General features: G+C 39.9%; 1 protein-coding gene across 2 annotated transcripts in view, besides 2 other annotated features; it reads left to right on the top strand.

Moving 5' to 3' along the window:
* The window catches only part of PFDN1 (prefoldin subunit 1), a 58,067-nt gene that overhangs the window by 20,972 nt on the left and 23,820 nt on the right, over positions 1-13,275 (top strand). Inside the window, exons 3-4 of one of the 2 annotated variants that reach the window (XM_005268465.5) lie at positions 597-681; positions 8,194-12,460. In XM_005268465.5, the coding sequence (XP_005268522.1) occupies positions 597-681; positions 8,194-8,256 (148 nt within the window). In that variant the 3' untranslated portion in view covers positions 8,257-12,460. Of the gene's footprint in view, positions 1-596; positions 682-8,193; positions 12,461-13,275 lie in introns of those variants that run through there. The other variant, NM_002622.5, reaches the window with a different exon arrangement.
* Positions 6,286-6,786: an enhancer, noted in NCBI's record as "H3K4me1 hESC enhancer chr5:139654929-139655429 (GRCh37/hg19 assembly coordinates)". NCBI's record gives its function as "activates a minimal SCP1, AML or CMV promoter by ChIP-STARR-seq in naive H9 embryonic stem cells {active_cell/tissue: H9 hESC(naive)}" and the evidence as "EXISTENCE:reporter gene assay evidence [ECO:0000049][PMID:30033119]".
* Positions 6,787-7,287: an enhancer, noted in NCBI's record as "H3K4me1 hESC enhancer chr5:139654428-139654928 (GRCh37/hg19 assembly coordinates)". NCBI's record gives its function as "activates a minimal SCP1, AML or CMV promoter by ChIP-STARR-seq in naive H9 embryonic stem cells {active_cell/tissue: H9 hESC(naive)}" and the evidence as "EXISTENCE:reporter gene assay evidence [ECO:0000049][PMID:30033119]".

Genomic DNA, 13,275 nt, shown 5'->3' with positions numbered 1-13,275 from the left:
CTACAGCTTTGATATCTCAGTCTCAATTGATCCTCCCACCTCAGCCTCCCTAGTAGCTGGGACTACAGGCGTGTGCCACTGTGCCTGACTAATATTTTAAATTTATTTTTTGTAGAGATGGGTCTCATCATGTTGCCTGGGCTAGTCTTGAACTCCCAGGCTCAAGCAGTCCTCCTGCCTCGGCCTCTCAGAGTGCTGGGATTACAGGTGTGAGCCACTGTGCCCAACTCCCGCAACCCCCCCGCTTTTTTTTTTAATGAGACAGGGTCTTGCTATGTTGCCCAGACTAGACTCAGACACCTGGGCTCAAACAATCCTCCCACCTCAGCCTCCTGAGTATCTGGGACTGTAGGCCCACACCACTGTTCCCTGCCTGATTCCTATATTAAATAAGAAAGCAGAATCTACTTTTAAGCCTTTATTCCTTCTCAGCCAAGAAGGTTTAAACTTCTGGTGGTTTCCTGAGCTTGACGTATTATGTTAATATGCATTTGTCCTTTTAATTTGCTCAGTTTAATATTTGTAGTATGTAGCTATTGATTTCGATGAATTCAATAGTCATGTGGCTTAATTTTCAACTTTCTTGTGTTTCATAGGTTTATTCTTCAGTCCAAGGAAGCAATTCACAGTCAGCTGTTAGAGAAGCAGAAAATAGCAGAAGAAAAAATTAAAGAACTAGAAGTAAGTTTTTATTGGCAATAGGAGTTAACTTTTGGGAGAAAGTAGTAATCTTATTGTGTCATATTAAATGAAAATGTATGCCTGCCTGCCAAAGTAATGTCATATTATTTTTATTTTCTATAATTACGTTGGAGCCGTGAAGCTGTCATATTCATATTCATAGCGCATATAAGACCAAAACAAAAAAAAAAGAATAGTCTCTTCTTTGGAACTGCAGAGAATTTTGATGAGATGGTTTTAACCTGAATGTATTTTGTTCATTGCCCTTGAATGTGTTTATTCTTTAAAAAAAACAAAACCATAAACAAAATGTAATGTATATTTAAACAACACTTGTGTAGTGGATTGTGGTGGATGGGCAGGAGAGTGGGTAATAATGATAAATTTTAGAGGATCTTGGTATAGGGTCTTTTTTACACATTGTAATTTCTTTAACCTAAATTAGGTTCTATATAAGGACAAAGTAGCAAGCTATAACCAATTAACTATCTGAAGGATGGTGCTCCAATGAGAACAATTTTTTCTTTTTAGCTAGGGAAAAAGATGATAGGTAACAGTAAGCAAATCTTTGGAAATATTACTTTATTATTTTTATTATTATAATTTATTTATACATTAAGACCTTTAGTGAGATATTCTTCTTGGGCTTTGGTGAAAGGCCCATCCTGTGTATAGTAAAAGTTAGACTGGACAAAAAGCTGGTTATTTCTTAGGGACCAAGATTTCCCAACATGTGGGTGGATACATTGACTTCATAGGTCATTTCATCTAATTTCTGTAAGTACTATTTGAGGCAGAGGATCAGAATCTAACTCAGCCCTCTGCTGAATTTGGGAGCTACAACTTGTAGCCTCCTGAGGATTTCTTAGGGGCACTGAATTGGCCTGGCCTGGGAGTATGCAGTATCTTAGGTTACTTAGGCTTATTTTTAACTACTGATAGTTGAAACAAACTTGATAATAGATTTGCAGCTTAGAAAAGTGTATTGTAAAAACAAGACAAAAAAGCAAAAAAACCAAGTAAAGAAAAAACAGCCTGTGATAACCAGATTGTTGTTGTGTCCTATTTTAACATTTTAATCAGCTCAACTGTTCTAAGAGGTTCAGTTTGATATCTGTGTTTTCACTCATAAGAAACAAAAGTATCTTTAAAAACCCAAACAGAATCATTTCATGTAGATAAAACAAAATGCATTTTTGCAACTGTAGGTAAATATATTTAAAATTATCCTAATGAATAATAAGTAGCAAGGTAATATGTATATAATTCTCTTTATGAAAACAAAAAACAAACATTTGTGTATGAATATTGAAGATGATATGTAAGGATATATATTAAATTGTTAATACTGTTTACCCTAAAGAAATTAGATGGGACGTAGGGATAAATGATTTTTTCTTTTTCTTTCTTTCTTTTCTTTTCTTTTCTTTTTTTGTTTTTTTTTTTTTTTTTTGAGACGGAGTTTCGCTCTTGTTGCCCAGGCTGAAGTGCAATGGTGTGATCTCGGCTCACTGCTACCTCCGCCTCCTGGCTTCAAGCGATTCTCCTGTCTCAGCTTCCCAAGTAGCTGGGATTACAGGCATGCGCCACCACGCCCTGCTAATTTTGTGTTTTTAGTAGAGATGGGATTTCTCCTTGTTGGTCAGGCTGGTCTCGAACTCCCGACCTCAGATGATCTGCCTGCCTCGGCCTCCCAAGTGCTGGGAATCATAGGCCACTGCGCCTGGCCTTGATTTTTTTCTTACAATCTCTGTAATAATAAATTATAACAAGTATACATTAACTTTTTTTGTTGTTAACTTTCATGATTAAAAAATTAGCAGAGTGGGCACAGTGGCAAATGCTTGTAGTCCCAGCTACGGGAGGCTGAAGCGGGAGGATTGCCTGAGGCATTCCAGCCTGCGCAACATAACAAGACCTTGTCTCTTTAGGGAAAAAAAAAAACACAAAAACCCCAATTATCAAGGTGAAATTGCCACAGGTGATGATTTTATCAATACCGTACTGCTGAGTTCTGGTGAATATTAAGAAATTTACTTTCTGCAAGTTTCCTTTTGTTGAGTGTCTCAAATACTGGTAGAATGTTTTATCTTTTAGGAAGTTCTTTTTTCTTTTTTAATTTTTCATTTTACATGTTACTTACATTATAAAAGCAATAGAAGTACACCATAAATAAAATATAAAACAAATGATTAAACAATGAAAATATTACTTTGTTTTTCCACCCTCGGTACATCCAAATGTCACCTCTACGGTTTCTGTATCATTCCAAACTTCTATATTTATATCAAGACATTCATACATGCATATATATACACAACCTTTTTTTAAAATAGGAATTATGCTATATATACTGTTTTCCATCATTTGACAGTTTATCTTGCTACTTTAGTAATATAACTCCAGTTTATATACAATTTCTTTTTTTGATTCCCATCATCATGGGCTCCTTACCATGAGCCTTATTTCAGCATTTAATATGTTCTCCAGTACTTCCCTAATCTGTGCTTTTAACAGTATCACCCAGTGTATACTCCCCTCTCTTCTCTGAAACAATCCTATACTTTTCCACTGCTACAACTTTATGGTTTTATTACTTCAGCACACCCCCACATGTGCACTTATGCACATATACACTGTTAATTGTGATGTTCAAATTTTGTGTGTATCTTACTGAATTATCATCTGCTTATTCATTTAGTTACTGAGAGATGTGATGAATCTTCCTCTATGACAGTGTTTATCAATTTCTCCTTAATCTGTCAGTTTAGTGGGCAGTGATATTTAGAGAATACAGTGTTGGGGGGGCAAGTGCTCATTATTACTGTATACGAAGTTTGGAGCTTATGTTTTGTTTTTTGTTTTTTTTTTTTTTTTTTTTTTTTTTTTTTGAGACAGAGTCTCATTCTGTCCCAGGCTGGAGTCCAGTGGTGTGTCTTGGCTCACTGCCACCTCTGCCCCAAAGGTTCAAGCGATTCTTCTGCCTCAGCCTCCTGAGTACCTGGGACTACAGGCCCACCATGCCTGGCTAATTTTTGTATTTTTAGTAGAGATGGGGTTTCACCATGTTGCCCAGACTGGTCTCGAACTCCTGACCTTGTGATCCACCCACCTTGGCCTCCCAAAGTGCTGGGATTACAGGTGTGAGCCACCATGCCTGACTGGGGCGTATGTCTTATTTTGTTTTATGTTAGGAATTTCTCAGCTCTTCTGTTTATATTTATTTATTTTTTATTGTTTTGAGATGGCATCTTGCTCTGTTGTCCAGGCTGGAGTGCAGTGGCATGATCTTGGCTCACTGCAGCCTCCGCCTTCTGGGTTCAAGCGATTCTTCTGCATCAGCCTCCTGAGTAGCTGGGATTACAGCCACCATGCCTGGCTACTTTTTGTATCTTTAGTAGAGACGGGGTTTGGGTTTCACCATGTTGGCCAGGCTGGTCTTGAACTCCTGACCTCCAGTGATCTCCCCACCTCAGCCTCCCAAAGTGCTGGGATTACAGGTGTGAGCCACAGCACCTGACCTGTCAGCTCTTTTAAAGATAACCATTCTACTGACTTGTGGCTTCCACTGTTGCTGTTAAGAAGTCATCTGTTAGTCTAATTGTTGTTAATTTGTCTTTTCTCTTTACCTGTTTTTACTTGTCTATGTCTTTCATGCTTTGTAGTTTCTCTGGGATGTGTTTAGGTGTCGATTTATTCCTTTTCTTTTTTTTTTTAATTTGAGATGGGGTCTCACTCTGTCACTCAGGTTGGCTTGTAGTTGGGTGATCTCAGCTCACTGCAGCCTCCACCTCCCAGGCTTAAGCAATCCTCCCACCTCAGCCTCCCAAGTAGCTGAGACCACAGGCATGCTACCACGCGTGGCTAATATTTTTTTCTTTATCTTAGTTAGAATTTGTTGGGTTTCCTGAATCTGAGGATTAGTGTTTTTTTTTTAATAAATTCTGGAAAATTTGTATTTCTGAAGATTACTTCTTCCTTATTTTGTTTATTAATGATATTTCCTTTTGGAATTTTTCCCCACCTTTGAACTGGCTGCCACCACCATCTGCAGTAGGATATTAACTGATTTTACCATATCCAGCCTTCTCTCGTTCAGTTCTTTTTATAACATATTTAAGTTAGAATGACCTTTCTAAAATGTTAAATCTGATCATATTACTCTCTCATGTAAAACCAATAGTTGTTCTTAGGGTTAAGTTCAAACTTTTTTTTTTTTTTTGAGACGGAGTTTTGATCTTGTTGCCCAGGCTGTAGTGCAATGGCATGATCTTGGCTCACTGCAACCTCCACCTCCTGGGTACAAGTGATTCTCCTGCCTGCCTCAGCCTCCTGAGTAGCTGGGACTACAGGCATGTGCCACTATGCCCAGCTAATTTTTTTGTATTTTTAGTAGAGACGGGGTTTCAACATTTTGGCCAGCCTGGTCTCGAACTCCTGACCTCGGGTGATCTGCCCGCCTTGGCCTCCCAAAGTGCTAGGATTATAGGTGTGAGTGAGCCACTGTGCCCAACCAGTTCAAACTTTTTAACATACCTTGAAGGCCTTTAAAGATATGATTTCTGTTTATTTCTCTCATCCCTCTCATTTCCTCTGCCTTCTGTTATACTGTATGCTTTAGCCATGCAAAAATACTCTCAGTCTTTTTTTTTTTTTTTTTTTTTTTTTGAGACGGTGTCTCACTCTGTCACCCAGGTTGGAGTGCAGTGGCGCTATCTTGGCTCACAGCAACCTCTGCCTCCTGGGTTGGAACAATTCTCCTGCCTCAGCAGGAGATCCCTTCTGGGATTACAGGTGTGTGCCACCACGCCCAGCTAATTTTTGTATTTTTAGTAGAGACAGGGTTTTGCATGTTGGCCAGACTGGTCTTGAACTCCTGACCTCAGATGATCCACCCACCTCTGCCTCCCAGAGTGCTGGGATTACAGGCATGAGCCACCACACTTGGCCAATACTCTCAGTCTTTGGAGCTTGCTCTTTTTTCATTCTGCTAGATCTTCGAAAAGTAGTTATCTCCACTTGGGAACTTCCTCCCTCTGCCTTTATCAATTCCATCTACTAATCCTTCAGATCTTAGCATAGAATTACTTCTCCTGAGAACCATTTTCTGATTCCTCAGTCTTAAGTTAGCTGCTTCTTTCTTGTGTTCTCTGGTTACTCTGTTAGTTTCTTAGCACATTGTAGGGATTTGGAAATATAAACTCTCACCAGTTGAGTAAATCATAAATATGGTTTCCTATTACTTTGGAAGCTTGATACAGATTTAGAGCTCTAAATGATTTTCCCCAAGTCCTTGGTGTTGCTCCTGTTTTCAAATCTGCAGTCTCTTCTTCTAGACCTAGTATTTCTTGTCAGTCTAATCTACTTCATTTTAATCCTCTGTAATTATCATCATCATCATCATCATCATCATCATCATCATCATCATCATCAATTTCTCTTCTGAGATACCCTGTATTAAGTTGGGGAGGCACAATTTATACCCAACTCTGTAGACAAAGGCCATGCTATTTCTATTTATCATGTTTTCATCTCTGAAAGAGTAAGGTTCATATTGGTTGGGGTCAGAGTTCCAGTTTTTGATAAAAGCTGTTAACTTGTTTTACTGATTTGGCCCACCGAGTATGCTTCCCCACCCTCTACCCACAGTTTGTGTAGATGGCAGGAGGGACAAACCTTTTCCATGACATAGGTGCTGGTCTGATTCAGGTTCTCTAACCTGATACCCCATTTTCATTAGTATTTGCTAGGTTCCCTTTTACCCAGCTTTGTTCTTTCTGTTTCTTTATACTTGCCCTCTCCTGATTTCTTTTTTCTGATCTTATTTATGAGTGCAAAGCTTACCTAGACTTTGTTTAGCTTTTTGTAGCTTTGTCATGTTGTGCCCTATGTCATCAGCCAGCCAAGTGGCCTCATCTACTGGCCCTTGTCTCTTATAGGCAGGGGTGGGGGTACTACTTGCCCTCATGTTAATCTTGATAGGGAGTCATATTCCTTATTAGCAGAATAAACACAAGCACTGTCTTTTTTTTTTTTTTTTGAGACAGAGTCTCGTTCTGTCTCCCAGGCTGGAGTGCAGTGGCGCAATCTCGGCTCACTGCAGGCTCCGCCTCCCAGGTTCACACCATTCTCCTGCTTCAGCCTCCCGAGTAGCTGGGACTACAGGCACACCCCGCCATGCCCAGCTAATTTTTTTTGTATTTTTAGTGAGACAGGGTTTCACCGTGTTAGCCAGGATGGTCTCAATCTTCTGACCTCGTGATCTGCCTGCCTTGGCCTCCCAAAGTGCTGGGATTACAGGTGTGAGCCACCGCGCCTGGCACAAGCAGTGTCTTAATGGTGGGAAGATAGTCTTACTGTCTTTTTTTTCCTTAGAACTTCTTTGTTGAACCTATGAATTGTACAAAGAATAAAGAAAACAAAAGAACTTCCTTTTACTTTTTTTTTTTTTTTTTTGAGATGAAGTCTTGCTTTGTTACCCAGGCTGGGGTGCAGTATCACAATCTCGGCTCACTGCAATCTCCATGTCCCAGGTTTAAGTGATTCCCCTGCCTCAGCCTCCCAAGTAGCTGGGATTACAGGTGCCTGGGCTAATTTTTGTATTTTTAGTAGAGACTGTGTTTCACCATGTTGGCCAGGCTGGTCTTGAACTCCTGGGTGATCCACCTGCCTCAGCCTCCTAAAGTGCTAGGATTACAAGCGTGAGCCGCTGTGCTCTGCCTCTTTTTACATTTTAATACCCCTATGTTAGACTGTTCTTCAGGCCATCATCACTGTAATGGGATTAATTGGGAAGTATTTTCATAACAGACTCACGGTTTATGTAGATTTAATCTTTCGTTATAAAGGTGATAGATCAAATTCTGGAAGAGAATACATCCTAACTGTGATTAGTAGACCAGTGATGCTGATCCTATTCACGAGAAAATACAAAATCGTGGCTTTAGTATGATAGAGTAACCATGTTATTTTTGTCATTTTTTGAGGAAATTTTCTATTTTTAAAAAATACTGATAATAACTTTCTAAAGAAGGTACTGAGTGCATAATACCTAATACAGTATTTGTTGTTATTTGAAAAGTACCCAAGCATAATTTTAGAAAATAGCATGATTACAACTGTGATTTGGAATTATGACATGTCTCATTTGTCTTTGTAAAATAATTTTCTTTTTATAATGTATAACATTGGTACTAAGAGAAAGTAGAAGTCTTTTTTGACAAAATTCAGTTTTAAAGTTGAGTTAAAACTGTTGATAGATTGAGATCTATATCTTCTAAAGAGTGGGAAATTCATCCTCTGGTTTTGCTAACTTTTTTGGAGGTAAGCAGGAAATAATTAATGGGCCTCTTTTGCAGTTAGGAAAATTTAAGTCAGCATTCAGATGATCTAGAGATGAGCTCCTGACCTTCTGAATCTCAACTATTAGGAATCCTTGAGGTAAATGTAAACTTTCAATGATACATTTGAACACATTTTTGCCACCATTGCCTTATGTTTTTTTTGTTCCAGGTGGAGGCCAGTTACTGCTTCAACCTAAAGTCAGCCTTCAACCTAAAGTCTGTTATATTTTAGGCACATGCATATACAGGTTCACCAGCTTCCTTCCCCTCTGTCTCCAACATGGTTACCACCCCTTTCACCACCCTGGTTAGCTCAGCAATAACAGAATAAGAATAAGGAAACCTAGGACAGTCTGGCGTGCTTAGCGCCACTTCTGATGCAGAATGTTGCAATCCCAGGGCTGTTGAAATAACTCCCCAGCCCATATCATATGTAAAAAAAAAAAACTGTTAAAGTCTTGACGTTTAAAGTCCCAACTCTTCCACAAAAATGACAGTTTTGGTCAGACAGTGGTTCCTGAAATAAATAGGAAGAATGGCGGCGAGAGAACAGGATAGGAGGTGCCTGTGACACTCTGCAGTTGGCTTAGGTTTGATACTCTGATGAGAACATGCTTTGGAGGGATTCCCATGATTGAGGAAATTTTACTCTGCCTGTTGAGAATCATTTTTTCCATCGCATGGGTGGTGACTGGTAGGCACTTGGATGGATGTCCAGTTTTGCCCTAAGTACTGCATTTTTGAGCTGGTACTATTGGTGTATATAATAGGAGCCCCCATTTGGAGGTGATGTCAGGTGGACTCTACTGTATGATAGTCACTGATTCTTACCTCTGTTTTTCTCTTTTTTTTTTTTTTTTTGAGATGGAGTCTTGCTCTGTTGCCCAGGCTAGAGTGCAGTGGCACGATCTCGGCTCACTGCAACCTCCGCCTCCTGGGTTCAAGCGATTCTTCTGCCTCAACCTCCTGAGTAGCTGGGACTACAGGTGCATGCCACCATGCCCGGCTAATTTTTGTATCATTAGTAGAGATGGGGTTTCACCATATTGGCCAGACTTGGTCTTACCTCTGTTTTTCAATGAAGAAAGGAGGGCAGGGGATAGCAGAGCCAATGATAGAATGTTTTTAAAACATTAAACAAGACATATGCCCAGCAGTTCATCTGCTTGCATAGCTCTAAGTTTATAATCCATTAAAAATTTAGTCATTAATTTTTTATTGAAATGTAGCATTTAAGAAATGTGTTAAATAACATTTATAGCTTAATCATTATAAAGCAAACACGTCAGTTATCCAGGCCAGTAAATCAAATGTTGTCAGGAAACCAGAACCCTCCTTGTTGTTTATCACTGCCTAATCATGTGCCATCCCTGCCTGCCTCTCCCATCAAGTAACTACTTCCCTAACTTTTGTGATAATTATTTCCTTTTTCAAAAATACAGTTTTACAGCCGGGCATGGTGGCTCATGCCTGTAATCCCAGCACTTTGGGAGGCTGAGGCGGGTAGATCATGAGGTCAGGAGTTCAAGACCAGCCTGGCCAAGATGGTGAAACCCCGTCTCTACTAAAACTACAAAAATTAGCCGGGCGTGGTGGTGGGCGCCTGTAATCCTAGCTACTTGGGAGGCTGAGGCCGAGAATTGCTTGAACCCGGGAGGTGGAGGTTGCAGTGAGCCGAGATCATGCCACTGCACTCCAGCCTGGGTGACAGAGCAAGACTCTGTCTCAAAAAAAAAAAAAAATGGTTTTACCACCTATGGATGTATCTCTAAAATAATATAATTTAGGCTGGGCGTGGTGGCTCACGCCTGTAATCCCAGCACTTTGGGAGGCTGAGGCGGGCAGATCACCTGAGGTCAGGAGTTCAAGGCCAGCCTGGCCAATATGGTGAAATCCTGTCTCTACTAAAAATACAAAAATTAGCTGGGCCTGGTGGCACGCGTCTGTAGCCCCAGCTACTCGGGAGGCTGGGGCAGGAGAATCGCTTGAACCCTGGTGGTGGAGGTTGCAGTGAGCCAAGATTACGCTATTGCACTCCGGCCTGGGCGTCACAGTGAGACTCCATCTCAAAAGACAACAACAAATATATTTTATGTGTATAAATATATCTTATGTATATAAATATATATCTTATGTATATAAATATATATATTATGTATATATGTATTTTATGTATATATATGTGTGTGTATATATATAATTTAGTTTAGCTTGTTTCTGAACTTTACATGAACAAAATCACTATTTTTTTGCCTCACTTCTTTCTCTCCACGTTGTGTTTGTGAAGTATATCTGTGTTATCTCTTGAGATTGTGAGTTGTTCATTTCATTGCTGCATAGTATCCCGTCATATAGAAGTACCACAATTTATCTATCTAGACAGTCCATTTTTATTCTTAACAAGTGAAGGTATTCTCATGGAGTATTTTTACAGTTTATCTTAGCATCTTGCTAAGATAATTTTCAGAAACCACCCTCCACCCACACTCCAGGAGAGCTTGCATCCTGGGAAGAAGTATAAAACGTTTACACTCCTGATGATTAAAATTAGCTTGATGATTTCCTACTTTCCATAGTAGCTAGATAGCTAGACACTTATGGATGTCTTTTTAAAATTTTTATCTTAGAAATCAATGCAAGATGTAAAATTAATCTCTTTCCTACGTTGTTTTGACTTGGAGAGTCTTGGGTGAAGTGATTTCTCTTATTGTGCATATATTGGGATTTCAAACATGAGTACTTATCTCTTTATAGAGCTCATTTGCATTCTTAACATTTATAAAAATGTATGTTTGTTTTAAAATAGTTTTCGGTTATTTAGGACTTCAGTCTAAGAGAGCCTGCTGGTTGGAAACCCCAGAGTTTATCATGAACTATATATATAGTCTCTATGTCCTGATGTCTTAGGGCTTAATGTAGCTGCAGAATCCTCCTTTGTGGCTTTCAGAGAAGAGTTGGTATAGGTCTGAAAAAGCCCACCATATATGCTCTTTTTCTGTTTGAGCATTTTTTCTTATTAATATTGTCAATGCCTTGTTCATTGTATATGTTATGATCCAAGTGCTAAAATTTGCCCAAATATAAAGCATCTGTGATGCATTTTATTTCCTTCATAGAAGTATTGTAGATCCAATGAGAACTTAGATGTAAGCAGTTCAAATAGATTGGTTCTTTTTTTTTGAGACGGAGTCTTGCTCTGTCACCCAGGCTGGAGTGCAGTGGCGCAATCTTGGCTCACTGCAAGCTCCACCTCCCAGGTTCACACCATTCTCCTACCTCAGCCTCCCAAGTAGCTGGGACTACAGGCGCCCGCCACCACGCCCGGCTAATTTTTTTGTATTTTTAGAAGAGACAGGGTTTCACCATGTTAGCCAGGATGGTCTTGATCTCCTGACCCCGTTATCCGCCCGCCTCGGCCTCCCAAAGTGCTGGGATTACAGGCATAAGCCATCGTGCCTGGCCCATAGATTGGTTCTTTTAATTGGATAGCCTTCCTTATTTATCTTGAAATATATATTACAGATATTTAACACACACATTGATATACCCTTGATTTGATCTGTTTCCTGGTGGCGCATCTTCATTTTATGATTAAGATAAGAGACTTAAGATAATTGGATTTGCATTCCAATTAGCCCAGAGTTCAGCTTTTTGCATCTTGTTTCAGTTATTATTTTCTTCTTGGATACATTGGGTGCCTTGTTGCTCTCCTTGGAATACTTATCTGTCCCCATACCCAACTATCCCTTTGAATGCTTTAGGGAGTTGTTGACCTCAGCCTTCATTGTTACATGCTTTATATGGTCTATACTCTTCTCTGTCTAACCATATGTCCTTAGTCTCCACCCTCCCATGCCTGGATTCCTCAAATCATTTTCAGGCTGCCTAGAGAATGATTTCTTTTAATGAGTTAGACTTTGGATTTTCTTTCATGTCATTACATACTTCCTTGCCAAGAATCCTTATCCTAGATTCTTACTCTGATCAGTTTCTGTTCTTACATCACAGGTGTCCTCCAACCTGAGGTAATAGATACTAGCCATAAAAAGCAAGTTCAATACTTCATGTGGGGAAGGCCACACCTTTATTAATAAGCATGCTACACATCAGCTCAGAAAAAGATCCAAAGAAAGGTTGACATTTCAGCCATAAATAGAAATTTCCAAGTCTACTAGATTTACAACAGAGCGTTCATTACCCTAAATTCCTAATTTTAAAAGCCTTATGTTAATTTAGGAGTTCTTCATTCTAACTCTTGCTGTACGCTAAGCCTCAGTTTCCTCACATAAAATGAGAATATTGGATTAGAAGATCTCTAGGGTCACTCCAGTCACTTCTATTAAGTTTATTGTTATAACCTTGGTCTTTTTCTGAGTTTCCATTTTAGGAGCAAAAATGCCCCCTTAAAATGAAAAGATGGAGGAAAGCAAAACAAAACAAAAACAATTTCCTTTGTCCAGATCATTGTCTTAATTTAAAAAGTTAAAGGCGGGTCACGGTGGCTCACGCCTATAATCCCAGCATTTTGGGAGGCCAAGGCGGGCAGATGATCTGAGGTCAGGAGTTCGAGACCAGCCTGACCAACATGGAGAGACCCCCATCTCTACTAAAAATACAAAATTAGCCGGGCGTGGTGGCGCATGCCTGTAATCCCAGCTACTGGGGAGGCTGAGGCAGGAGAATCGCTTGAACCCGGGAGATGGAGGTTGCGGTGAGCAGAGATCATGCCATTGCACTCCAGCCTGGGCAATAAGAGCGAAGCTCCATCTCAAAAAAAAAAAAAAAAGTTATAAGGCTGGGTGCTGTGGCTCATGCCTATAATCCCAGCACTTTGGGAGTCTGAGGCAGGCAGATCTTTTGAGCCCTGGAGTTCGAGACCAGCCTGGGCAACAAAGTGAGACCTCATCTCTACAAATAATTAAAAAACTATCTGGGCATGGTGGTGCATGCCTGTGGTCCCAGCTACTGCAGAGGCTGAGGTGGGAGGATTGCTTGAGCCCAGGTGATTGAGGCTGCAGTGAGCCTTGATAGCACCACTGTACTCCAGCCTGGGTGACAGAGCGAGCCCCCCATCTCAAAAAATACATAAAAAATAAAAAGTTAATTGGAATCCTATTTTGAAGCTAAAATGAAGCTAGTTGTCTACCTATATCTAAAATGTAATTCAAGGTGATGGCATCTCCTTTGATATCTTTGCAGTCATTTAAATCACAGAGATGTCCATGTAATGGCTTAAAGGTAAACTACATTA

This window comes from Homo sapiens, chromosome 5 (assembly GCF_000001405.40).
Source record: "Homo sapiens chromosome 5, GRCh38.p14 Primary Assembly".
Classification (NCBI taxonomy): Eukaryota; Metazoa; Chordata; class Mammalia; order Primates; family Hominidae; genus Homo; species Homo sapiens.
This window is presented reverse-complemented; position numbering and strand designations above follow the sequence as displayed.